General features: G+C 33.5%; 1 protein-coding gene across 6 annotated transcripts in view; it reads left to right on the forward strand.

Moving 5' to 3' along the window:
- The window catches only part of FSIP2 (fibrous sheath interacting protein 2), a 96,157-nt gene that overhangs the window by 9,814 nt on the left and 59,814 nt on the right, over positions 1-26,529 (forward strand). For 5 of the 6 annotated variants that reach the window (XM_047444333.1, XM_047444329.1, XM_047444331.1 and 2 more), the window contains exons 7-13: positions 366-476; positions 6,775-6,901; positions 9,245-9,331; positions 14,041-14,156; positions 15,025-15,070; positions 16,236-16,342; positions 17,555-17,618. In XM_047444333.1, the coding sequence (XP_047300289.1) occupies positions 366-476; positions 6,775-6,901; positions 9,245-9,331; positions 14,041-14,156; positions 15,025-15,070; positions 16,236-16,342; positions 17,555-17,618 (658 nt within the window). The remainder of the gene's footprint in view (positions 1-365; positions 477-6,774; positions 6,902-9,244; positions 9,332-14,040; positions 14,157-15,024; positions 15,071-16,235; positions 16,343-17,554; positions 17,619-26,529) is intronic. The other variant, NM_173651.4, reaches the window with a different exon arrangement.

Raw genomic sequence — 26,529 nt, forward strand, 5'->3', positions numbered from 1 at the left:
AGCTATAATATACAAGTTGTTACATAAAATAATGAGGTGGATACCACAAAGTACGTATATAAGCCAATTTCTGCTCTTAAAGAACAGTTAGAAAGTTAACTAGACACTATTTAACTCTCTTAATGCCCTTATTGTGGAGACAAAATTTTTTTGAAATTTAGCTTTAGTAAAAAGTATCATATTTGCATTCCTAATAAGAGTGTAGTAAGAAAAGTATATTCTAAACCGAACGTATGCCTTTCATTATGCTTAACCTGATTTCTGTTAGGCCCTGACTTGTTTAATATACTTTTTGGTGGGACAAAATACAAAGATATTGTTGTGAAAGGCACACACACCAAGTGCAGTAACATTGTGATTTCTAGGAATGGAAGACAAAAGAGATGTTACTTCTGACAAGGATGGCAGAAGATGTTAAAAGAGAAGAGAGGATAGAAGAACAACAGCATAGAAACAGAGAAGAGAGTGACAGGAAGGTAGGGTGAGCTTTAACCTCTAACTTGAGCTGTTCGAAGAGAAGATTTTGTTTTGGTTTTTTGAAGTACAAATCACTTTGTGAGATGACTGTTGCCCAGTTACTCCAAATGATATGCATGATATAAAACTGCAAGTTATGGACATTTTTAGTATTTTTGACTATCATATAAAAAGTACTGCTCTATTATGTGATATAACTATTTTTGGCTTTATTTTTACACCATAAACCATACTTGTAATTACTATGAAAAAATTAAATGACTGATTAACTTTTTTTAGAACTAGCAGTTCTTTGTCAGATTTCTCAATTTTTCCTCACCAGTTAATTTTATTTAGCTTAACTTTTTATCTTTAATAATATATAAGATTTTGTGATTTAGAGTGTAAATCAATAAAAAGAAAGAGAAAAATCCTACCACCACCACCCTATCAACTTTTTAGTTCTCACATATACACATACACCCCCCAACAATGTTTCCAATAATATTTATTTTTTCCAATTAATAATTAAAAACAAGCATTGCAAGCTGTTCTGTAGGCTGTTTTTTTCATGTAATAAAATGCCATTGTCAACTTAGCATGTTGATAAATGTTGATCTAAAATTCTAAATGGCAATTTTAGGTAGGTTATTGTTAACAAACCTAGGTATGAATGTAAGATTTACACAATTTGGTTTGTATTGACATATACTGTTACATAGCAATTTTGTAAAAATATTGAAAGTTTAAATATGTATGCTTCTCTTTCATTCTGTTTGTTACCTGTACCTTTCAGTACCATCAGAGACTCACTGCTCATTTTGCAGGCTCAGCTTATTCCAATTTACCTGATTATTATTTTTCTTCTTTCTTTTTTGTTTTTCTTTCTTCTTTATTTTTATTTATTTATTTATTTTTTGTAGAGACAGGTTTTTGCTATGTTGCCCAGGCTGGTCTCAAACTCCTGAGCTCAAATGATTCTCCCACCTTGTCCTCCTGAAGGGCTGGGATTACAGGTGTCAGCCACCACGCCCAGCCATAATTATTATTAATATTTTCTAATACTCAGTTTTTCACTATTTTTCAATAAGAAGTCTCACCAAGTTGTCCTCTTCATTTTGCTCTAAAACTGCACATCTCTGGGCGGCAGAGCAAGACTCCATCTCAAAAAAAAAGAGAAAGTATCTTTGTTTTCCAGAAGCAATTGAATGCACTAGATTCTTCTCCTTTTGCCTAATGTCAATTACTACCCAAAGAATGTTGGTCAGTTTTAGTGAAGACTAATGCAACTGATCAAATCAGCCTGGGAGGAGTGCCCATTAGACGTGGTCACTGACTGTAAGCATGATAACACCACAGGCTGCCTAAGCTGTGCTAATGGCAGAGCCATTTGAACACTGATATTTCCAATGGAGTTATTTTACAATTGTCTTTTGTGAATCTTGTTTTACTGTAAGAAATTTTGAATTCCTTTGTGTTTCATTACATTATTATGTCATGATTTTCAGATTTGACATTATATATTTTTTCACTGCAAATTATGTCTTATCATAGTTTAGATTTTGCTCTTAATATCTTTGTCAAAAATTATTTGTATGGATCTATTTTTGGACTCTCTTCTATTCTTTGACCTATTTGTTTGATTGCTGTACCTTTAACAATTCTTTGAATCTGTCATGTCAGTCTTACACATTTTTCTATTTCAGTTGTTTTAGTTAATCCCAAGCCCTTTGTATTTCCATATAAATTATAGCATCAGCTTATTAATTTCTACCAAAACGTCTTGCTGAGTTTTTTTAATTGGATTTGCATTAACTCTATAGGTCAGTTTGGGCACAATTTACCTCTTTATAATATTGAGTTTTTCAACTCATGAACCACATATGTCGCTCCATTTATGTAGGTCTTCTTAATTTCTCTTAACAGTGCTATGTAGTTTGCAGTGTACTGTTCTTATATATCTTTTCATAAATTCATCCCTAGGTATTTCATACATTTTATGCTATTGTAATTTATATTTCTTAAATTTCAAACTTTGAATACTTAATGCTAGCATTTAGAAAAACATCTGATTTATTTATATTCATCTTGTGTCTTGCATTGTTAACAATCAATAATCAGTTCTAGTAGTTCTTTTTTCTAGATGCCAATTAATAGTTTACATAGATGATCATTTCTGTGAATAAAGGGAGTTTTATTTCTTCTGATGAGTTCCTTTAATTTTTTTTTCTTTCTTGATCACACTGCTTGAAACCTTCAGTATAATGCTGAATAGAAGCAGACATACTAGCTATTTTTGACTGGTGATTTGTTTGTTAGTGGCTCTCTTTGCTAGTGATCTCAAGGGGAAAGGATTAAGTCGTCGCCATTAATTTTAGGGTTAGGTATGGGTTTTTTTTACAGGTGTCATTCATTGGGATGAGGAAATTTTCTTATATTTCTAGTTTGCTGAACATTTCTATCAGAAATGGATGTAAGATTTTGTCAAACATTTTCTTCTGTGGTTTTATTGAATTCATATGTAGGTTTTCCTTTGTGGTTCATTGCTTAGTAGATAACATAAATTGATTTTTGAATGTTAAATGAATCCTGAACAAAAGATCATTAAACAAATATACTTGGTCTGATTGTATTATCATTTTACATATTGTTGTATTAAATTTGCCAACATTTTGTTTAGAATTTTGCACTAGAGATGTTAGTGCAAAATGTAGTTTTCTTGCACTACCCTTCTCTGATTTTGGTATCAGGGTAATGCTGGCCTTATACCATAAATCTCTATGTATTCCATCTTCAGATTTTTGAAAAAATTATTTTAGAATTGGTATTGTTTATTTTTTATATATTTTATGGAATTTATCAGTGAAGACATTTGGGTATGAGGTTTCTTTGTGGGGAGATACTTAACTACATACCTATTCAAAACATTCTTTTTAAAAGTTTTGATAGTGTATTCTAGGAATTGTTTCATTTCATCTGATTTGTGGGATTTATTGACAAAGTTGTTTATAACATTCCTTTGTTATCATTTGAGTATTTCTAGACTCTGGTGATGTCACCCACTTTCCTTACTGATATGGTAATTTGTAACTTCTTTTTTCCTTATCAGTCCTGGCTAGAGTTGCTTTTTCTTTTTCTTCTTATTTCTCTTTTTCTGATTTTCTCCAACTGCTAGTTTTTAGTTTTAATGCATTTCTCTGTTTTTTTTTTTTCTATTTTGTTGATTTCTGTTCTGATCTTTTTGTTAAATACCTTTTTTCTTTTTAGGTGGAAGTCATTAATTCAAGACCCTTCCTCTTTTCTAATACAGAAATTTAGTACTCTAAGTTTTTCCCTAACACTGGTCTATCAAGAGTCCCCAGATTTTTTTTGATATACGATGTTTTATATTTATTCAATTCAAAATACTTTAATTTCCCTTTTAATTTTATGTTTGATTCATTGGTTACTTAAAAATGTGTCATTTAGCTTCTAAATATTTGGAGTGTGTCCAAGATCTTTCTGTTATTGATTTCAAATTTGCTTTTATTGTAGTCAGAGAAAAGACTTTTATTTCCCAAATCTTTTTAAATATATTGAGATTATTTTATCATCCCAAACTCTGGTCATTTTGGGTAAATTACGAATGTACACCTGAAAAAAACTTCTTTCTACTGTTGTTGGGTGAAGTATTTTATAACTGTTCTCTAGATATCAAGTTCATTGATAGAATTGTTCAAATCCAAGTCCTAGCTCAATTTCTGTCTACTTGTTCTCTCAATTATTGAGAGAAAGAGTTATTAAAATCTCTGACTATATTTTTGGATTTGTCTAGTATCTCAGTTTTTGTTTTATTTGAAGCTCAGTATTAGGTAAAAAATGGCTAGAATTGTTATGTCTGTTGGTGATTTGATTTGTTTATTGTTATGAAAATATTTTATTTTCCTGTTATTATTCTTTGCTCTAATATTACATGTAATATTAACATTGCCACTTCAGCTTTACTTTGATTACTGTTAGCACGGCATATTATTTTCTTGTGTTTTACTTTTAAGACCAAATTTGGGTCTTTATTTTTCTGTGTGTGTGTGTGTGTGTGTGTGTGTGTGTGTGTGTGGTTACTACTCATATAGATGGGCTTTGGTTTCATATCAAATCTGACAACCGCCTGTAATTGAGGTGTTTGTAGCATTTACATTTAGTGCGATTATTAACATGATTAGTTTTATGTGTGTCATCTCATTATTTTTTTATTTGTCTCATCTATGTTCTTTTCTTCATTTTCTGCCTTTTTCTTTTGATTTTTAATGATCCCTTTGTATCTATTTTGTATATTGCTTCTTTGTTTGAAATTTACCAGTTGCTTTAAGGATTACAGTATATGTCTTTAATTTATTAGGGTAGCTCTTAAAGTGTTATTATACTGTATTATACCATTTCACATATAGTATAAGAGCTTTACAGTATTATGCTTTATTTTTTTCCCTTTGGCCTTTATGCTATTTTGGTCATTCATTTTATTTATATACATACACGTAATAATTCCCACAATACATTGCTAAGTTTGTCTAAACTATCATTTATCTTTTATCCTGATGTAAATAAGTCATATATTTGGCCAGATACTTAAAATTTTTTATGCTCTTCATTCTTTTTTTGTATACCCATATTTTCATCTGCTATCATTTTTTTTTCTGTCTGAAGGGCTTTCTTTAACATTGCTCCTAGTACAACTTACTTTTGTATGTCTGCAAAAGACTTATACTTTATTTTTGAAAACTTTTTTTTGAGTATATGTTGGTTAACATCAACTGGGTGTAGAATTCACCATTGACTTTTTTTTTTCTTTATTTTAGTACTTTAAAGATGCTGTTTAACTTTCTTCTCTACATTGATTCCAAGAAGAATTCTACTGTCTTTAAACTTTATTTTTCTCTATGTAACATGATTTGTTTTTCTGGAAACTTTAAAATTTTTCTTTTTATCCCTAGTTTTGAGAAATTTGATTATTATGACTTGGTGAAATTTTTCTTGTTTTCTACGCATTGGTGTTTTGGGCTTCTTGGACCTGTGGGTTTACGGTTTTCATCAAATTTGAAACATTTTAGGATATTATTATCTAATATTTATTTTATCTTTTCTCTCCTCTCTTCAGGCATATTAGGCTGCTTGAAGTTGTCCCATATCTCACTGAAATCTTTTCATTTATTCACTTCTCTATTAATGGATGTGCCATTAATACATCCATGGTATTGCTCATCTCACATATTTGAAAATTGCTTTTGGACCTTGTTATGTCTCCCATATCTCTTCTTCACTTTGTTTATATACAAATTGCAATCTTATGTTGCTGTATTGTTTCTTGTCTTTAATTCCAACATTTGTGTCATTTTTGAGTCCATTTCAGTTGATAGATCTACTTCTTTTATAAGTCATATTCCCCTGCTTCTTTACATGCCTAGTATTCTTTGATTGGATGCCAGACATGAATTTTACTTTGTATACTGAATATTTTTATCTTCTTATAAATATTATTTAGCTTTTTTGATGTAGATAATTTATTTGGAAACAATTTGATTGTACAGGTCTTGCCTTTTATGATTTGCTGGTGGGGTGAGAGCCATATTTTATCTGGGGCTAGTTGTTTCCTACTACTGAGTTAAGATCCATCTTAGTACTCTACTCAATGCCCTATGACTCATGAGGTTTTTCCAGTGAAATATTTCTAGGGGGAATAGGCATGTTTTCTATCCCTAGATAGGTTGCAGTGACTGTTTTCTCCAGTCCTTTAGGAAGATCTTTACTGTAGTCTTGGGTAGTTTTTTTTACATATGCTAATCCATTTTCTTGCTAAATACTGCAAGAACCCTCTAAGAATCTCTGGGGTTCATTCTGTATGGATTTATCTTGTTTCTAGTGCATTCAATACTAGCCCAGAAATTCACAAAGGGAAGTCACATTTTATGTACTATATTATGTTTACCTCTGGTAGACCTGAGTGATATTTGGTTAAGCCCTCAGGAATCTTCCAATTGAAGATGATTAAGAAATTACTTAAACTCACCAGGACAGGTATGAATAAGATACCCTGTCTGATCAGAAACTGAATTAGTTCTCTGATGGTATGTAGAGAGGTAAATTGCATACATGTTAAATATATTCTTTGTGTTTGATCACAAATGGAAATTTGCCCCTTACTACTCTCTTATTTTTGTACCATTACAAATCAAGACAGGACTGATTATCCATTTTCAAAATATTGTCACATTTTAAATGATTTGTTTTACATTTCTAAATGGCAAGTTAATATTAACCAATATATTTTCTTTAATATTGTAGAAACAAGATCTTCTAGAGAAAAAAATGGCTTATCATTTACAAAAAATGCAAGATACTGGCTTTAACGGAGAAGATATAGGAAAAAATACATTTAAATACAGAGGTCAAGATGGAACACATGGTGAATGTGAGAACATTAAAAGATGATGTAGCTAAGTAGAAAATGATTATCTATGTAAAAATCCTTGTGTAATACTCTGTGTATTTACACTTGTTTCTCCCTTTGTGCCAGACATTGTTCTAGGCATTTCTGTAGTATAGTTCAAGTTGAAAAGTAGGCATATATGTAACAATGATAACAAATTATAACAATCTCATCAATTGGCTCAGGAGACAGTCTTGCCTGTACTGCATTTGTAACCAACCTCCCTATATTTAAAGTAATTACTAAAATGATACAAACTTGTATCTAGGATAACCACTATTATATACCAACATGGTGTTCTATTATGTTGACAACCAGTAAGAAAGGGAGGTAGTACAGAATTAGGAAAAAAAAGAAGGAAGAAATAAATGAAGAAAGAAAAAATGAAGAAAGTTTCAAAGGAGGAATGGCTTTGTTATGCCCGGCCTCTACCAGCTTCCTTTATTTATAACATTATAAAATTACAATGGGTTTTTCGCTTCGATATTAGATAAAATTTCATGGCCAGAATGCAAAAATGTAGACTTGTTTTAACTATCTTTGACTGTGTAGTACCAGGAAAGAAACTGATTATTTTCCATGCAGCTATTGTCATAGTATCTCATCAATCCCATTTCTAGGTCAGAGCTTTCCTGTGTCACTCCAGTAGATTACCAACTAGCCTCTGTTGAGTCTTCTTTTTACCTGCCTCAAATCCATTTTGTACTGTCGCTTGCTACATTTAAAACTCTGTTCTCATGGTTTCTTCCTCCACCCTTAAAGCTATTACCTATTAAATGAAGCTCAGACTGCTTCAGCAAGCATTTATCAGCATCTAGAGTTCAGTCTTCACCTAACTTTTCAACTTTATTTTACACTACATCCTTGAAGATGGCAGCTATGATCTAGTGGTGATATGCACAGGCTCTGGAATTGGACTGTGGAAGTCCAATCCTGTTTCATCATTTTCTAGCGATGTTATGGCTTGGGCAAATTATTTAACCTCCCTAAGCCAGTTTCGTTATCTGCAAATGAAGATAATACTCCTAGATAATTCCTATAAAGAGTGTAAAAATTCTAGCATATAGTAAGAACTTAATTTATTTTGTTGTTTAGTTAAATTAGACTACTGATCATTCCTAAAACACATGTTACCTTTCCGACTTCTCTGCCTCTCTGTATCCAATTTTTCTCAATTTAGAATGACCTGATTACCGTCTCCATTTATCAAAATCCTACAGTTCTTTAAGCCCCACTGTAAATTACATGCCAAAAAGTCATTGTTGATAACCCTAACTGGAAGGTCCCTTTTCTGTGAATCTCTCAAGTAGTTTGCACCACTTTTAATTCACTTATTACATACTTCCCGCTGTCTTAATCATTTATAATAGTAAACTCCCACCTTTGTATTCAATAGAACACCATGCAAAGCATATACACTAAGTACACGTTTGCTAAATTGATTAATTCTATCTGTTTAGTTCATTGAGGCAATGACAGCAATATCATGCCTCAGATATGAAATCACTTCAGTAACTATAAAAATTCCTACATCTTCATTAACTTTCTCATATAGTAGGAATAATTTCTGTAGCTTAAACATTTGTTATTTAGATACACTGTTGAAGAAGAAGTAGTATGAAAATGAGTTTAATTTATATTATCAAAGAGTCAGAATAGAAAGAATATCCATGGCACAAATTAAATTGAATTATACCACTATGGTAATGTTGTTATCTTCCAACAAGTAAACAACTTCTAGTGGGACAGAGAAAGTAAAAGAAAGGAAGTATCAGAAGAATCTGCTCAGTGATCAGTGAATGGGGAAACAGATCACTCTTATAGTTTACATCTCTAATAACAGCCCCTTGAGCACACATGCAGTGAGGACCTTTTGCCACCTTAATAGTTAGAAAAGCAAAACTACAATTACATTTATTACAAAGAAGGGAATATATATGTGCATTTGCTTATGCCAGGCAGCAAGGCATATCCAAGAATTACAGCAGTCACTGTGGACTGCTGAGTCTTCAGCCCAGCCACTATGTTGTTATGCACCCAGATGGAAAATGACATGTTTCAGTTGAGCCAGGTGCAGATTTCCTTTTCTGCTAGAAAAACATTCTATCCCTCCAAATGTATCTTTTAATATTAAGGGATAATATTTCAAGAATTGTCTTTTCTCCCATTTCACATCACTGTATCTTCTCCAATTTTTCTCGCAATCCCACATACAGATTAGCATATAGTTCAGCTCCTCTTGGGCATAAAAGGATAAGTAGTCTATCTTGGGTAATTCTGTCATCATCATAAGTAAAAATAAATGTTTTATTATATTTCTTTAAGCTTCTCCAAAGAATAAAAAGAAGACTTCTGAAGATATAATGTTAGTTTATCCTGCTGGAGACCAGAATACATATAAAGAAACACATGGTAATTGAATATTGTGACAAGAAACACTAGATACTAAACAATAATTTGGGGGAAAGACAGTTTTGTAACAACTTTTTTCACTTAAGTGCAGACAAATCCTGTTTTCTTTTTATCAAATAACTGATTTTGAGTGACGCTTATCAAGAGCTATGTGGCCTTTATTGCTTTTAGAATTTGATAACCAGATAATTGATTTACTGTTTTGAACCTGACATTATATTATTATTTTAGAAAATTAAATGAAGGTTATGTTACTATTAAATATATAATACAGCATGCCTACCAACTTGCAGAAAATATTTTTGCTCAAAATAATCTCAGAAAACTCTGAAATATGTCAGAAATTAAGTATATTTACTCCAGATTCACTGTGGCCTTTAATGTAACATCACTTTATTATCTTTTAACTTATGTTATGTCACTTCATGTTGTTCATTAGAGCTCATTGAAAGATTATAAGCCCAAATTACAATATAAAAATCCTCCAAAAAATATTACCAGAGTATGACTGTTCAAAAACTGAACAGTATAACTAATCTCCCATTATTAAATTTCAAAGAAAAAATTAACATATAAATGTTAAATTTCTTGGCCTTATTGGTTAAAAAATAAAAGAAATACTGTTTAAAATCTTTTCTTCCCGAGTATGCAATTTGCTTAGTTTTCATCAAGAGTCTGAAATGTTGGAAGAGATAGGGTTGCCTTAGCCTAGGATGTCTTTCTGCCTCAGAATCACTGAGGTTCAGTTAATTTAACTCCAGAATTCATGGGTCCCATTTTTAAAGTTCAGCTTTTACAACATACCAAAGGATTATTTACAACTGGCAAATTTATGGCAATACCAGCTCTACATCTTATACTAAATGTAGACAATAAAACTAAGTTATCAATTTCTAAAGCAGTTATCTCAAGCAAACTGATCCTGTAAAAATCTGGTGTTTAATGCATCCCAGGCTGATCTTACTGTTGTCAAAGAACCTCAGTGACATTTCAGGAAAGGATGGTCAATGGAAAATATTGTTTTTAGCCTCACTGCAATACCAGTTTATCGTGACAATTGTCTGGAGAACAGACCTGTAAATTTAATTAAACATGGTTGGGAGAAATATCCTATTGAAAGATGAAATGTAAAGTAATGTGATTCATATCAGAATTGGGTGGAGGGGGTTATGTGTATCTACTCTCTTGTTTCAGTGAAGGGTATGTGAGTCATTGTAGGCTTTTTGTGAATTTTAAAAATACACAGTAGTGACATCACAAGTCATCATATGTTTTTAGAGGTGCTCCTCTTTCCCACTCACCATAATCAGGTCTTCCTGGTTTCCATTTCATCATTGAGTCATGAGTGTGAACTCTGTACAGTGTCACATCCTCTATACTCTTATGAGAAATTTGCCCCATACAGTTTTGCAGCTGGTGATTCTCCAAGCAGAGTTTGAAGTCAATTTCCTGCTCCAGCTTCTTAGCTTGTCTTTGTATTTTTTCATTCCCAGAAAAGATCTCAAGGCATTTATTTTGGTTTTTAGATTACCCTAAAGCAAAATGGAACATTTTGTACAATTACATGTATAAACAGATGTATAGATTTGTGTAACCAATATCACAATCATATGTAGAACAGTCCAGCATTCCAGAAATCTCCCTCATGCTGTTTATTTGCAGTCACACCCTCCTTCCTCCAACTAATAATCCCAGATTACCTCTGGGATTATTAGTTATGTTACCTCTGGGATTATTATCAAATAGTAATATGTTCTCATAACTATAGTTCATTTTCTGTTGGAGAGTGTCATATAAATGGAATCATACATTATGTAACTTTATAAAAATGGCTTCTTTTACTCAGCATAATACCCTGAAATTCATCCAAGTTACAGCATGTGTCAATAGTTTGTTCCTTTCCATTGTATGGATGCACCAGTTTGTTTTTTCATTCTTCAATCAAAAGAAATTTGAAATTTTGGGTTGTTTCCATGTTCGGGTGATTATGTATTGAATGACTAGAAGTACAGTTGATGTTTGAACATCAAGGGGTGATAGTTGAAGTACGGACCCCTTGCACAGTAAAAAAAAACTACATTTAACTTTTGGCTCCCCAGAAACTTACTAACAGCCCACCATTGACCTTACTGAAAACATAAAATGTCGAGTAACACATATTATGTATGTTATATGTATTATATACTATAATCTTACAATAAAGTAAACTATAGAAAAGAAAATGTTATTAAATTGAAAAAGTCATAGGAAGAGAAAATGTAATGTATTTACTATTAAGTGAAAATGGATCATCGTTAAGGTCTTCATCCTCATTGTCTTCATGTTGTAACACCTCTGGCCAGTGGAAGCACCTTTGTTATAGCTCTAGAGGTATTTTTGGCTTAACCCTAGTGGTCTTTGATATCTTCCTTGCTACCTGGGAAGACAGGAAGATCCTAGCTTATCTTGTACAAATCTAGTTGCTTTGGCAACTTTGAAAATATAAAGTGATCATCGATAGCTGGGCCTATTTCTAAACATTCTCTTCCATTCTATTGATGTATTTATCTGTCTTTATGCAAATACCTCAATTTTCTTCATTTTTGTGGCTTTATAATAAGTTTTGAAATTTGGCGGTTTGAGTTATCCAATGTTAGTTGTTATACTAGGTTGACTTGGTTATTCTAGAGCCTTTGCATTTCTATACAAATTTTAAAAACAACTTGCCAATTTTTACAAAATAGCTTGCTGCAATTTTGTTGGGATTCACTTTTCATTTATTTCTCTCTGTCTAGGACCTCCAGTACAATGTTGAACAGCAGTGGTGATTGTGTACATCTTAATATTGTTCCAAAACATAAGGGAAAGTGATACATATGAATTAGGATATCAGCTCTAGATATTTAAATATAGCCTTTGTTAGAAAAAGACATCCCCTTTTTTCTTAGTTCACTAAGAAGTTGTATCATTAATGGGTGTTGAATTGTATCATACTTTTTCTGTGACTTTGACATAATCACACGAATCTGCTCCTTTTTTCTGTTAATATTATAAATTACTTTGATTTTTGAATGAATCAAATTACTTTTGATTTTCTTCATTCCTTGGATAAACTCTACTTATTCATAATGCATAATTTTTATTACATATTATAATATATATTATTAACATATTTTAATATACTTATATTTATTAAAATTATATTATACAGAAATATATATTCACATATATTTATATTATATTATTTACAGTATATAATATATAAGATAATTAACTTTTTTATAATTATAAATAAGTATTAAAATTATAATTTACTATATTTATGATATAATTATGATTACTATATTATTAATATAATGGTCAGTATAATATTAATAATATTGTTATATATTATATATATTATATATTATACATAATATTTATTATTTGTTTTGTTTATAATTCTTGCATGTTTGCTCATGGGGGAATTGAACGAATTTTTAATTTATTATAATGCCTTGTATATTTTGTATAAAAGTGATTCTGATGTCAGTGTATGAGATAGAAAATGTTCACTCTTCTTCAATTTCCTGGAAGAGTTTGTGTAAAATTAGCATAATTTCTTGCTTAAATATTTAGCACAATTCAGAGGTGAGGTCACTTGAGTCTAGAGCTTTTTTGTGGAAAGGTTTAAACCTCATATTCAATTTCTTTGCTACAGGGCTCTTCATATTATCTATTTATTTGTGATGAGACATGATCATTTGGATTTTTCAGAGAATTTGTTCCTTGTATCTATTTTCAAATTTATTGGCATACATTTTTCATGTATTTCTTTATTATTTCATTTATTAATTATCTGTAAATTCTATTTTGCTGATTTGTGGCTTTATTTGTTTTTGGCTTATTACTTACTAAATATCTTAATTAGCCAGTTTTTTATTTCATTCTTTCTCTCTCTTTTTATGTTTTTAAAAAATTTTACTTTGATATTTATTTTTCTGCTAAGTGTTGGCAAGGATGTGAAAGAACTGAAACTCTGATGCACTGCTGATTGATATGTAAAATGGTACAACGACATTGAAAAACTGGTTTGGCTTTTTATTTAAGTTAAACCTATATTTACCATGTGACCAGTCACTCAGCTACTAGGTATTTACCCAGTAAAAATGAAAAAAAAATGTGTTCACACATGACCTGTACATGAAAGTTCAAAGAAATTTATTATTTATAAATTTTATTTATAATAAAATAAAATTTATATTTATTATAATAAAATAATATAAACAAGTAAACTAAATAAATATTTATTTATAAAAACTGGAAACAATCCAAATGTCCATCAACAGGTAAGTGGATAAAAAATTATAGCATAGCCATACAATAGAATTCTTCTCAGAAATGAAAAAGAAAAGCAATACCATTGATACATGCAACAACGTTGTCCTGAGTGAAAGAAGCCAGGGAAATATGAAATTCTAGAAAGCGCAAACTAATCTTGAGTTAGTGGTATAGATCAGTGTTGTTGGAGTATGAGAACAGAGAGATGGATAAATCACAAAGTTGCATTAGAAAACTTCTAGGGATAATAGACATGTTATCTTGAATGCAGTGATGGTTTCACAGTTGGATACATATTTCCAAGTCAATTAAATAATTAAATAGATACAATTTATTGTACTTTGATTGTACTTTCCTAAAGCTGTTAAAAAAAAAAAAAACTATAGAGTTTCTCTCTCGTTTTCTTTTAGGACATACAGCAAATGCTGCTCATCAGCGTCAAAATAGTTCAAATAATTTTACGAAAAAAAACTCAGCTTCTGTTGTTTATCAGGCAGATGTACAGGATAATGGTATAAATCAAAAGGTATACAATTATGCTTTAAAGTTTTGTGTTGTATTTATTAATTTATCTACTTAACTTTTATTTCTATGAACTCTCTCCTTCAGCAGCATAGTACTGATTGTTTAGGGATACTGAGTTTTATTCATGAAACATGATCCATTTTCCTGGCAGAAAAAGTGTTAAGTTAGCTTTGTGCTAAACACACTACGGATTTTAGCAGAAAATAACCCAAACAAACATTTGGCAGTAATAATAATAATGACAGCTTGCATTTATTGAGCATATACTATTGACTAGGTGTTGTACTAAGCTAGAATGAAGGAAAACAATAATTGGGTAATATAAGATAAATTAAATATAAGAAATTGGGTAATATAAGATAAAAAGAATAAGACATAATTGCTCCTCTAAAAGACTCATTGTCTAGTGAGGCAGCAGACACAGAAAGATACTATTCCAATAAAATTATCCTGGAATGATGAATTTTACTTTGGTTCTAAACAGTGTTTTTAATAAGCATTACACTGGTTTGGACTGGGTATGAATGGATTACATTGGATTTCTCTGAGACAAACTGAATGAATCTAAACTTTTTAGAACCAACCACAGCATGTATTACCATGCCTTTAGGCAAAGTAGGAAGACTGGAGAAGAAGTAAGTTTATACATTGCTACATATTGAACTCAGTTTTGGACTAGTTAAACTTGAGATTATATGAAAGGTATCCTAGGAGGTTGATGATATGTATTTTACCTAAACAGTTTTTATGAGTTACTGGTTAAAAGAGGGAAAACATCTGTATTCATTGGTTAATTGATAGAAGGCAGAATCTTTTTTGGAAGTACAGTTACTAATGTAATTTTTTCTCTTCAATGTGGTACCATGTAGAGAGATGGGATGGTATCTAAAAACTCAAGTATTTTCGATGATAGAGGTAAGAAAATAAACAATAGTCATAATTTTTCTGTTATTAGGCATGCAATTATAGTTTTATTATATATTTTAAGTTGTTTTATCTGATTATAAAAATATGCTTATTCTAAAAAATTAAGGCTGATATAAATTTTTTATGAATATAGATATTATAATTAGCCCATATATTTGAGTGATTGCTGGATGAGTGTGCCTTTTGGAATTTGCAAAGTGTGGAAAAGATAGGGTCCTTGCTGTAGCTGTTTGTAGTTACAGATAAAGACGCTGGCATAGTGGCTTCAGGAGATTGGAATACAAAGAACTATCCCCAAGATTGTTTCCATATTTCACTGCCATTAATTTCCAACAAATGATACATTTTGTTTCCCATTTGTCTTTAAATGAAATATTCATTACCCAATATCTGTGTGCCTTGTTATGTTTATGCAAGTCACTAAAAATACTCACATACATATCTGACATATGCATACAGAAAACATGAGACATCTTCCTCCAGTTGCTAAGGATCACCTCAAATTTAATACAAAACTCAATTCATCATCATCTTCCTGACCCTTTTATTTCACCCAGGCACAAAACCTAAGTTGCCTTGGACTCTTCCTTTTATATTTTGTATCTAAAAGTTCACATTTTCTGCCTATTCTACTTCCTTAATTTATTTTGATCTTCACTTTTTTCCATTCCCTTTGCTCCTACCCTTGTTTTCTCCATTCTTCACTATTGCAGTAATCTTCCTCCAATTTCATCTTCCTCTTTTTAACCCACTATACATTTTTCTATGAAACAATCTTCCTAAATCACAGCTTTGTTTATTTCACTATCCAGATGATTTTTCATTGCCTAATTACTCAAATGCAAAAAGTTAATTCTAGCGGTAGGCTGTGGTTATAGCAGAAGATTAAGCTGGCATAAAACATTAAATAAGGATTTCAGGCTTGTCTTTGAAGGCAATGGGAACCACTGGAAATTTGTAGGCAGTAAACATCAAAAAAGACGTGTTATTTTTGGAGATATTTCCTTGACTCAAATAAATCCCTGATTGTGGCAATTCTAGTCACTGTGGCAGCTGAGCAGGGAGAATGTTGGAGTAATGCTGTAAATTAATATTAACCCTTGTCCCAGCAATATCAGCTTCTCATATTTAAAGTTATCTCTTCTTTCTCTAGGAGGTATAAATATTTCAGGCCAAGGTTCAATTATTTCAGCGCAGGTATCACCCACGAGAAATTTTTCCAGAGTTTCACAGGCATTTTTGGATCCTTCAAAAGAAGAGGTATATAACAGTTCTTTTACCCCAAATACAAACACAATAAAAGGGATATGATCTTATGGTCATAATTGGTATAAAATGTCATGATTTATGTAACCATACAAAACAACTTTATTCCCTGAAATTAGTCATACAATAATAACGTTTTAATAGCCCTTGAACAGTCTGCTTAAATGTAAGCTACAAGATGTTAGTTCATGGTACGTATCTACAACTTTTAGAGGAAGTATAAAGTTGGACTTCTTTGACTGGGCTTGTACAGTAATGATTTAGTACTTTTTGACCAGTGATCAGTTACCTGCTGTTCGAGAGATACCAGCAAAGATTCAGGGTATAGCTTTTGGACATGAAATAGATTTTTTTCTGTGGGTTGCCAACTTGTTACAGGAATCAAACATGTATCTTTGGTTTCATCATTAGTATAGTATTAACTAGCTCAACTGCCCTAGGGAGTTAATGTGGTTTGAAATAGATTTCAATAAACTAGAAATGTACTAAATTATTTCCAAAAGAATTCTTCATAACTAGAGTAGAAAGTGGCATCATTTTCCATGTCCTAGAATGCATAATAATTGAGACACTAAATTATGTATAACTCCTAAAATGTAGTATGTTTACCACAATGCGATTTTCTGTAGTGCAGTTTTATAATAAACATTTGACAAATGTACATCAGGTTTAGTTCACTGTTCTACCATATCAATAGCCACATTAAATATGCTAAGAATAAAAAAAAATTTTTTAACAGCTTTGACATTGGGTGTCATATTGGCCAAAATATTATAAAGGCTATGCCCTTAACTTAAAAAAAATTCCTTTAAAAACAGTGTCTAAATTTTATTACTGACCTTTTTAGGGTAATGTGTGCACTATCAGCATTGCCATCCATATTAAATCTTAGATTGCCATCCATATTAAATCTTAGATGTGTTAGATGAAAGTACAACTATATGCTAAATCCCAAAGTCTCAGCAAATTACCAAATGTGTAGGTGGTTTTAAGTACAACTTTTGATACAACTATGAACTTTGAATTCTATAAATAATACCTGTAATATAAACATAATAAAAACGTGCATTTCTTATAAATTGACATTAAAGAGAAATTCTCAAAATCTTAAATTTCTGTACTATAAATATAGAAATAATAGTTGATGTTTGAGTCCTAAAATTTTTTTTTGTGGATCTATTTGTTTTGCTGTTGTGAATTATGTAGAAGGAGACAAATGCTGATTGGGATGGAAGACCAACCAAGAGATCAAGCTATCTCTGCGAATCAGGTAAATATCAGCAGTAATTATTGAGTAAATCTTGCATTCTATTTATTCTTTCAACTGACATTTACTGAGTTTTTGCTTCATGTTAGATATGGTGCTAAGTTTTAATCATTCAAGGAAAAATGGCACAATTTTTGCTCAGGGTTCTTACAGTATACTTGGAAAGATAGTCATGGCCCAATATGATAAGAGCAATAAAGGAAGTGGGTATGTGTAAAAGCTGGGAAAGTTATGGGAAAGAGAATGCATAGACCTATCTAGGGTCATCATAGAAGCCTTTATAATTTAGAAAGAGACTGCGTTGAGACATGAAGGATCAGAAGGAATTTCCTATTTTCTTTTTGTTATTTTTATTGTTTGTACTAATGTTGACAACCAAAATTTGCAAAAAAATTAAAGTTTTTGTACTCATATCCTTATACTTACTGTTTTCTGCTTTTACAGCAGCTTCTCTCCCACACCACAACTTTATTAAGGTATAGTGGATAATTTAAAACTGTATATATTGACGGTACAGATGGTCCCCAACTTGTAATGATTCAATTTAGGGTTTTTCAACTTTACTGTCGGTTTATTGGGGTATTAAATGCATTCTCAGCTTACAATATTTTTGACTTACAATTGGCTAATCAAGATGTAACACCATCATAAGACAAGGAGAATCATATACAACTTGATATGTGTATATACAGTAAAGTGTTCACCACAAGCAAGCCAATTAACATATCCTCACTTCATGTAGTTACTATTTGTGTGTGGTGGCAGAAGAACACTTAAGAGCTACTCTCTTTCTACATATGGCTAGCCAGTTTTCCCAGCACCATTTATTAAATAGGGAATCCTTTCCCCATTGCTTGTTTTTCTCAGGTTTGTCAAAGATCAGATAGTTGTAGATATGCGGCGTTATTTCTGAGGGCTCTGTTCTGTTCCATTGATCTATATCTTTGTTTTGGTACCAGTACCATGCTGTTTTGGTTACTGTAGCCTTGTAGTATAGTTTGAAGTCAGGTAGTGTGATGCCTCCAGCTTTGTTCTTTTGGCTTAGGATTGAATTGGTGATGCGGGCTCTTTTTTGGTTCCATATGAACTTTAAAGTAGTTTTTTCCAATTCTGTGAAGAAAGTCATCGGTAGCTTGATGGGGATGGCATTGAATCTATAAATTACCTTGGGCAGTATGGCCATTTTCACGATATTGATTCTTCCTACCCATGAGCATGGAATGTTCTTCTATTTGTTTGTATCCTCTTTTATTTCCTTGAGCAGCGGTTTGTAGTTCTCCTTGAAGAGGTCCTTCACATCCCTTGTAAGTTGGATTCCTAGGTATTTTATTCTCTTTGAAGCAATTGTGAATGGGAGTTCACTCATGATTTGGCTCTCTGTTTGTCTGTTGTTGGTGTATAAGAATGCTTGTGATTTTTGTACATTGATTTTGTATCCTGAGACTTTGCTGAAGTTGCTTATCAGCTTAAGGAGATTTTGGGCTGAGACAATGGGGTTTTCTAGATATACAGTCATGTCGTCTGCAAACAGGGACAATTTGACTTCCTCTTTTCCTAATTGAATAACCTGGATCCCTTCCTTACACCTTATACAAAAATCAATTCAAGATGGATTAAAGACTTAAACGTTAGACCTAAAACCATAAAAACCCTAGAAGAAAACCTAGGCATTACCATTCGGGACATAGGCATGGGCAAGGACTTCATGTCTAAAACACCAAAAGCAATGGCAACAAAAGCCAAAATTGACAAATGGGATCTAATTAAACTAAAGAGCTTCTGCACAGCAAAAGAAACTACCATCAGAGTGAACAGGCAACCTACAAAATGGGAGAAAATTTTCGCAACCTACTCATCTGACAAAGGGCTAATAACCAGAATCTACAATGAACTCAAACAAATTTACAAGAAAAAAACAAACAACCCCATCAAAAAGTGGGTGAAGGACATGAACAGACACTTCTCAAAAGAAGACATTTATGCAGCCAAAAAACACATGAAAAAATGCTCACCATCACTGGCCATCAGAGAAATGCAAATCAAAACCACAATGAGATACCATCTCACACCAGTTAGAATGGCAAGCATTAAAAAGTCAGGAAACAACAGGTGCTGGAAAGGATGTGGAGAAATAGGAACACTTTTACACTGTTGGTGGGACTGTAAACTAGTTCAACCATTGTGGAAGTCAGTGTGACGATTCCTCAGGGATCTAGAACTGGAAATACCATTTGACCCAGCCATCCCATTACTGGGTATATACCCAAAGGACTATAAATCATGCTGCTATAAAGACACACGCACACGTATGTTTATTGTGGCATTATTCACAATAGCAAAGACTTGGAACCAACCCAAATGTCCAACAATGATAGACTGGATTAAGAAAATGTGGCACATATACACCATGGAATACTATGCAGCCATAAAAAATGATGAGTTCATGTCCTTTGTAGGGACATGGATGAAATTGGAAATCATCATTCTCAGTAAACTATCGCAAGAACAAAAAACCAAACACCGCATATTCTCACTCATAGGTGGGAATTGAACAATGAGATCACATGGACACAGGAAGGGGAATATCACACTCTGGGGACTGTTGTGGGGTGGGGGCAGGGGGGAGGGATAGCATCGGGAGATATACCTAATGCTAGATGACGAGTTAGTGGGTGCAGCGCACCAGCATGGCACATGTATACATATGTAACTAACCTGCACAATGTGCACATGTACCCTAAAACTTAAAGTATAATAAAAAATAAAAATAAAAAAATAAAAAATAAAAAAAAGAGCTACTCTTAGCAGTTTTTAATGACACAATATTGTTAACTACAGTCACACTGTTGTACATTAGATCTTCCACACTTATTCATCTTATATATCCTCCTCCCCATAACTCCTGGTAACCACCATTCTATTCTCTGTTCCTATGAGCTTGACATTTTTATATAACACATATAAATCATGCCGTTTTTAGTCTTTCTGCATTTAGCTTATTACACTTAGCATGATGTTCTCCAAGTTCTTTGATGTTGTCACAAATGGCAGGATTTCCTTTGTTTGAAAGGCTAAATAGTATTGTATTATATCTGTCTGTCTGTCTGTCTGTCTGTGTATCTGTGTTTATTTATACATCTACTTAGACAGATAGATCTATCTCTTGGTATATATCAGATTTTCTTTATGCCCTCATCTGTTGATGTACATTTGTTTCTATATATTAGCTATTGTGAATAATGCTGCAGTAAACATGAGAGTGCAGATATCTCTTCAACATACTGAAAACATAACGAAAACATATGATTTCATTTCCTTTGGATATGTACCCAGAAGTTGAATTGCTAGATCGATCATAAGGTAATTGTTGAGGAACCTTCATACTGTTTTCTACAATGTCTGTACAAATTTACATTTCTACCAACTATGTGCAAGGATTTCTTTTTCTTCACAATCTTGCCAATACTTGTTGTCTTTTACTTTTTTGATAATAGGCATTCTAAGAGATGTGAAGTGGTATATCATTATGGTTTTGATTGTATTTTTATTTTTAATAATTTTTTTTTACTATTGAGTTGTTTCAGATTTTTATATGCTTGGGATAATAACACCTTATCAGATATATGGTTTACAAGTATTTTATACAATTCTGTAGGTTGCTTTCTCACTTTATTGTTTTACAGCAATGCAAAAACTTTTTAACTTGATGCAATCTCATTTTTCTATTTTTGCTTTTATTGCCTGTGCATTTAGTGCCATACCCAAACATTTATTGCCCAGATCAACATCAAGAAGCTTTGTATGTTCTCTCTTACACTTTTATGCCTTAAGGCCTTATGTTTATATCTTTAATTCATTTTTTGTTATTTTTTGTATATGATGTGAGGTAAGGGTCCAATTTAATTCTTCTGCCTGTGGACATACCGTTTTCCCAACAACATTTATTGAAAAAATTATCTTTCCCTATTGTTTCTTTTTTATGTTATTTTTAATTGGCATATAGTTATTTTCCATATTTATGTTGTTTTATTTTATTTTTAATGGGCAAATAGTTATTTTCTTTATTAAGAAAATCTTTATTTTAGGCTGAGTCATACATGTGCGGGTTTGTTTTACAGATAAACTTATGTCATGAGGGTTTGTTGTACAGATTATTTCATCACTCTGGTACTAAGCCTAATACTAGTACTCAATCATTATTTTTTCTGATCCTCTCCCTGCTCCAACCCTCTACCACAGTGTGGCCTCGGTGTCATTCCCCTCTTCGAGTCCATGTTTTCTCATCATTTAGCTCCCACTTATAAGTGAGAACATGCGGATTTGGTTTTCTGTTCCTGTGTTAGTTTGCTAAGGACAATGGCCTCCAGCTCCATCCATGTTCCTGCAAAGGACATGATCTAATTCTTTTCCATGGCTGCATAGTATTCTATGGTATATATGTGCCATATTTTTAAAAATCTAGTCTACCATTGGTGAACATTTAGGTTGATTCCATGTCTTTGCTATTGTGAGTAATGTGCTGCAATGAACATACACATGCGTGTGTCTTTATGATAGAATGGTGTATGGTTCCTTTGGGTATATAGCCAGTAATGGGATCTCAGGGTCAAATGGTAGTTCTGTTTTTAGCTCTTTGAGGAATCATCACACGACTTTCCACAGTGGTTGAATTAATTTACACTCCCACCAACAATGTATAAATGTTCCCTTTTCTCTGCAACCTTGCCAGCATCTATTATTTTCTTTTTAATACTAACCATCCTGACTGGTGCAAGATGGTATCTCATTGTGATTTTGATTTGCATTTATCTAATGATCAGTGATATTGGGCTTTTTTAAATATGCTGCTGACTGCATGTTTATCTTATTTTGAAAAGTGTCTGTTCATATCCTTTGCCCTCTTTTTAATGGAATTTTTTTTCTTATAAATTTAAGTTACTTACAGATGCTGAATATTAGACTCTTGCCAGATGCATAGTTTGCAAATATTTTTTCCCATTTTCTAGGTTGTCTGTTTACTGTATTACTAGTTTCTTTTGCTGTGCAGAAGCTCTTTAGTTTCAGTAGATCCCATTTGTCAATTTTTGCCTTTGTTGCAATTGCTTTTGGCATCTTCTTCATGAAACCTTCGTCAGTTCCTATGTCCTGAATGGTATTGCCTATGTTGTCTTCCAAGGTTTTTATAAATAGAGTTTTACATTTCAGTCTTTAATCCATCTTGTGTTGATTTCTGTATAGGAGGGGCCCAGTTTTGATCTTCCGCATATGGCTAGCCAGTTATTCCAGAACCATTTATTGAATAGGGAATCCTTTCCCCATTGCTTGTTTTTGTCAGCTTTGTCAAAGATCAGATGGTTGCAGGCCTATATATCTATTTTTGTACCAATACCATGCTGTTTGGTTACTGTAGACCTGTAGTATACTTTGAATTCAGGTAGCTTGATGCCTCCTGCTTTGTTCTTTTTGTTTAGGATTGCCTTGGCTATTCAGGCTCTTTCTTTTGGTTCCATACAAATTTTAAAATAATGTTTTCTTGTTGTGTGAAGAATGCCATTGGTAGTTTGATAGGAATGGCATTGAATCTGTAAATTGCTTTGGGCAGCATGGTCATTTTAACAATATTAATTCTTCCTATCTATGAGCATAGTACCTTTTTCTACTTGTTTGTGTCATCTCTGGTTTCTTTGAGCAGTGTTTTGTAATTCTCAGTGCAGAGATCTTGAACCTCCCTGGTTAGTGGTATTTCTTAAGTATTTCATTCATTTTCTGGTTGTTGTGAATCACATTGCAATCCTGATTTGGCTCCCAGTAGGCTATACACGCACGGCACCAGAATTGCTTCTGCTCAGGGCCTCAGGAAGCTTCCACTCATGGCAGAAGGTGAAGGGGAAGCAGGCATATCACATGGTGAGAAAGCAGCAGTGGGTGGGTGCCACGCTCTTAAACAATCAGAACTCAGAGTGAGAACTCACTGTTTACCATGAAGTGGGCACAAAGTCATTTATGGGGGATCCATTCCCATGACCAAAGCACCTCCCACCAGGCCCCACCCCCAACATTGGGAATTATACTTCAACATGAAATATTGAGGAGACAAAACATCCAAACCATATCATTCTGCCACTGGCCACCAAATCTCATGTATTTTTTATATTGCAAAATACAATCATCCCTTCCCAATAGTCCCCCCAAATCTTAACTTATTCCAGCATTAATTCAATAAAAAGTCCAAGGTCCAAAATTTAATTTGAGACTTAATGTATATTGCCTTCACTTATGAGCTTCTGAAATCAAAAACATGTTATTACATCCAAGATACTATGGTGGTACAGGCATTGGGTAGAATTTCCATTCTAAGAGGGAGAAAACAGTCAAAATAAAGGGGCAACATGCCCCATGCAAATCTAAAACCTAGCAGTGCCAACATTAAATCTCAAAGCTCCAAAATAATCTCCCTTGATTCCATGTCTCTCATCCTGGGAACACTAAAAAAAAGGGGTGGTCTCCCAAGGCATTAGGCAGCCCCACCACTGTGGCTTTTCAGGGTGGAACCCCCATGGCTTCTGTCACTGATTTGAGTCTAATGCCTGCTGCTTTCCCATGCTGAGGTGGCAAGCTGCTGGTGGCTGTACCATGCTGGGATCTGGAGTGCATTGGTCCTGTTCCCACAGTTCCACTAGGTAGTGCCCAGTGAGGACTCAGTGTGAGTTCTTCAATCCCACATTTCCCCTTGGCACTGCCCTACTAGAGTCTCTCTGCAGGGGCTTCAGCCCTGCAGCAGGCTTCTGCCTGGACATCCTGCCTTTCTCATACATACTCTGAAATCTATATGGAGCTGCCAGGCCTCCTTCACTTTTGCATTTTGTAAACCTGCAGACTAAACAGCACATAGAACCTGACAAGGCTTATGCCTTGCAATGTCCACAGTGGCATCCCAAATTGTACCTGGGCCCTTTGAGCTGAGGCTGGAGCTGGAGTGGCCAGGATGTGAGCAGCAGTGTCCTGAGGCTGAGCAGAGGATCAGTTTCCTGGGTCTGGCCCCTAAAACCATTCTTTCCTCCTAGGCCTCTGGGCCTGTGATGGGAGGGGCTTTCCCAAAGACTTCTGAAATGCCTTTGAGGGCTTTTTTTCCATTGTCTTGGTTGTTAACACTTGGCCCCCTTTTAGTCATGCTAATCTCTCTAGTAAGTGATTGCTCCACAACCTGCTTGTATTTCTGTCTTGAAAACACCCTTTCCTTTTCTATCACAAAGACAGCTTGTGAACCTTACAAATTTTTACACTTTGCTTCCCTTTTAAATATAAGTTCCAACTTTAAGTCATTTCTTTGCCCCAATATCTGATTATAGGTTGTTAGAAGCAGCCACATCATTTCTCGAATGCTTTGCTGCTTAGAAATTTGTTCTGCCAAATACTGTAAGACATCACTCTTTAAGTTCAACCTTCCACAAATGCCCAGGACATGGACACAATGCAGTCAAGCTCTTTGCTAAGGAATAACAAGTGTGACCTTTGGCTCAGTTCCTAATAACTTTCTCATTTCCATCTGAAATCTTATCAGCCTGGACTTTGCTGTCTATATTTCTATCAGCATTTCAGTCACCACCATTTAACCAGTCCCTAAGAAGTTCCAAACTTTTCCTCATTTTCCTGTGTTCTTCAGAGCCAGAGCCCTCAAACTTTTCTTATCTCTCTCCATTACCCATTTCCAAAGCTGCCTCCATGTTTTCATGTATCTTTATAGCAATGCCTTACTTCTTGGTACCAATTTTCTGTGTTTCATTTGTATTGCTATAAAGGAATACCTGAGGCTGGGTAGTTTATAAAGAAAATAGGTTATTTTTCTCACGGTTCTGCATGGCACCAGCGTTGCTTCTGGTGAGAGCTTCAGAAAGCTTCCACTCATGGCAGAAGGTGAAGTAGGGGAGCAGGCATATCACATGGTAAGAAAGCAGCAGTGGGTGGGTGTCAAACTCTTTTAAACAGCCAGTTCTCATGTGAACTCAGCACAAGAACTCACTCATTACTGCTGTAAGGAGGGCACCAAGTCATCCATGAGGGATCTGCACCTATGATCCAAACACTTCCCATCAGGCCTCACCTCCAACACTGGGAGATTACATTTCAAACTGATATTTGAAGGGGATAAAACATCCAAACCATGTCACTGATTTTGTACTTTTGTGTGTTTTCATAATGGTGAATATCACCTGAGTTTAGAATTTTTTTTAGCTTTTCTTTTCCTCCCCTCCCCTCCTCTCCTCTTCTCTTTTTCTTCTCCTTTCTTTTCTTTTGTTTTTGTTTTTTTCTTTTTCTTTTTTCAGATCTAGCTCTGTCACCCAGGCTGGAGTGCAGTGGCATGATCTCAGCTCACTGTAATCTCCACATCCTAGGCTCAAGCCATCTTCCCACCTCAGCTTCCCAAATAGCTGAGACTACAGACACATGCCACCATACCAGCTAGTTTTGTATTTTTTTAGTACAGATGGGGTTTTGTCATATTGCCCAGGCTGTTCTCAAACTCCTGGGCTCAAAGCAATCTATCTGCCTCAGCCTCCCAAAGTGCTGGGATTACAAGCATGATCCAACACGCCAGGCCCAGAGCATTTCTTATAGGACCAGTTTAGTGGTGATGAACTCCCTCGGTATTTGCTTGTTTGGGAAAAATTTATTTCTCCTGAATTTGTGAAGCTTAATCTTGTTAAACATAGAATTCTTGGTCAGCACTATTTTTCTTTCAAAACTTTGAATATTTTATGTCATTCTCTTCTGGCGTGTAAGGTTTCTGCTGAGAAATCTGCTGTTATTCTAATGAGGTTTTCTTTGTAAGTGACTAGATGCTTTTCTCTAGCTAATTTTATAATTTATTCTTTCACTTTGACTGTAGTCTGGGACCCCAATTCAAACATACATT

Source organism: Homo sapiens, chromosome 2 (assembly GCF_000001405.40).
Source record: "Homo sapiens chromosome 2, GRCh38.p14 Primary Assembly".
Classification (NCBI taxonomy): Eukaryota; Metazoa; Chordata; class Mammalia; order Primates; family Hominidae; genus Homo; species Homo sapiens.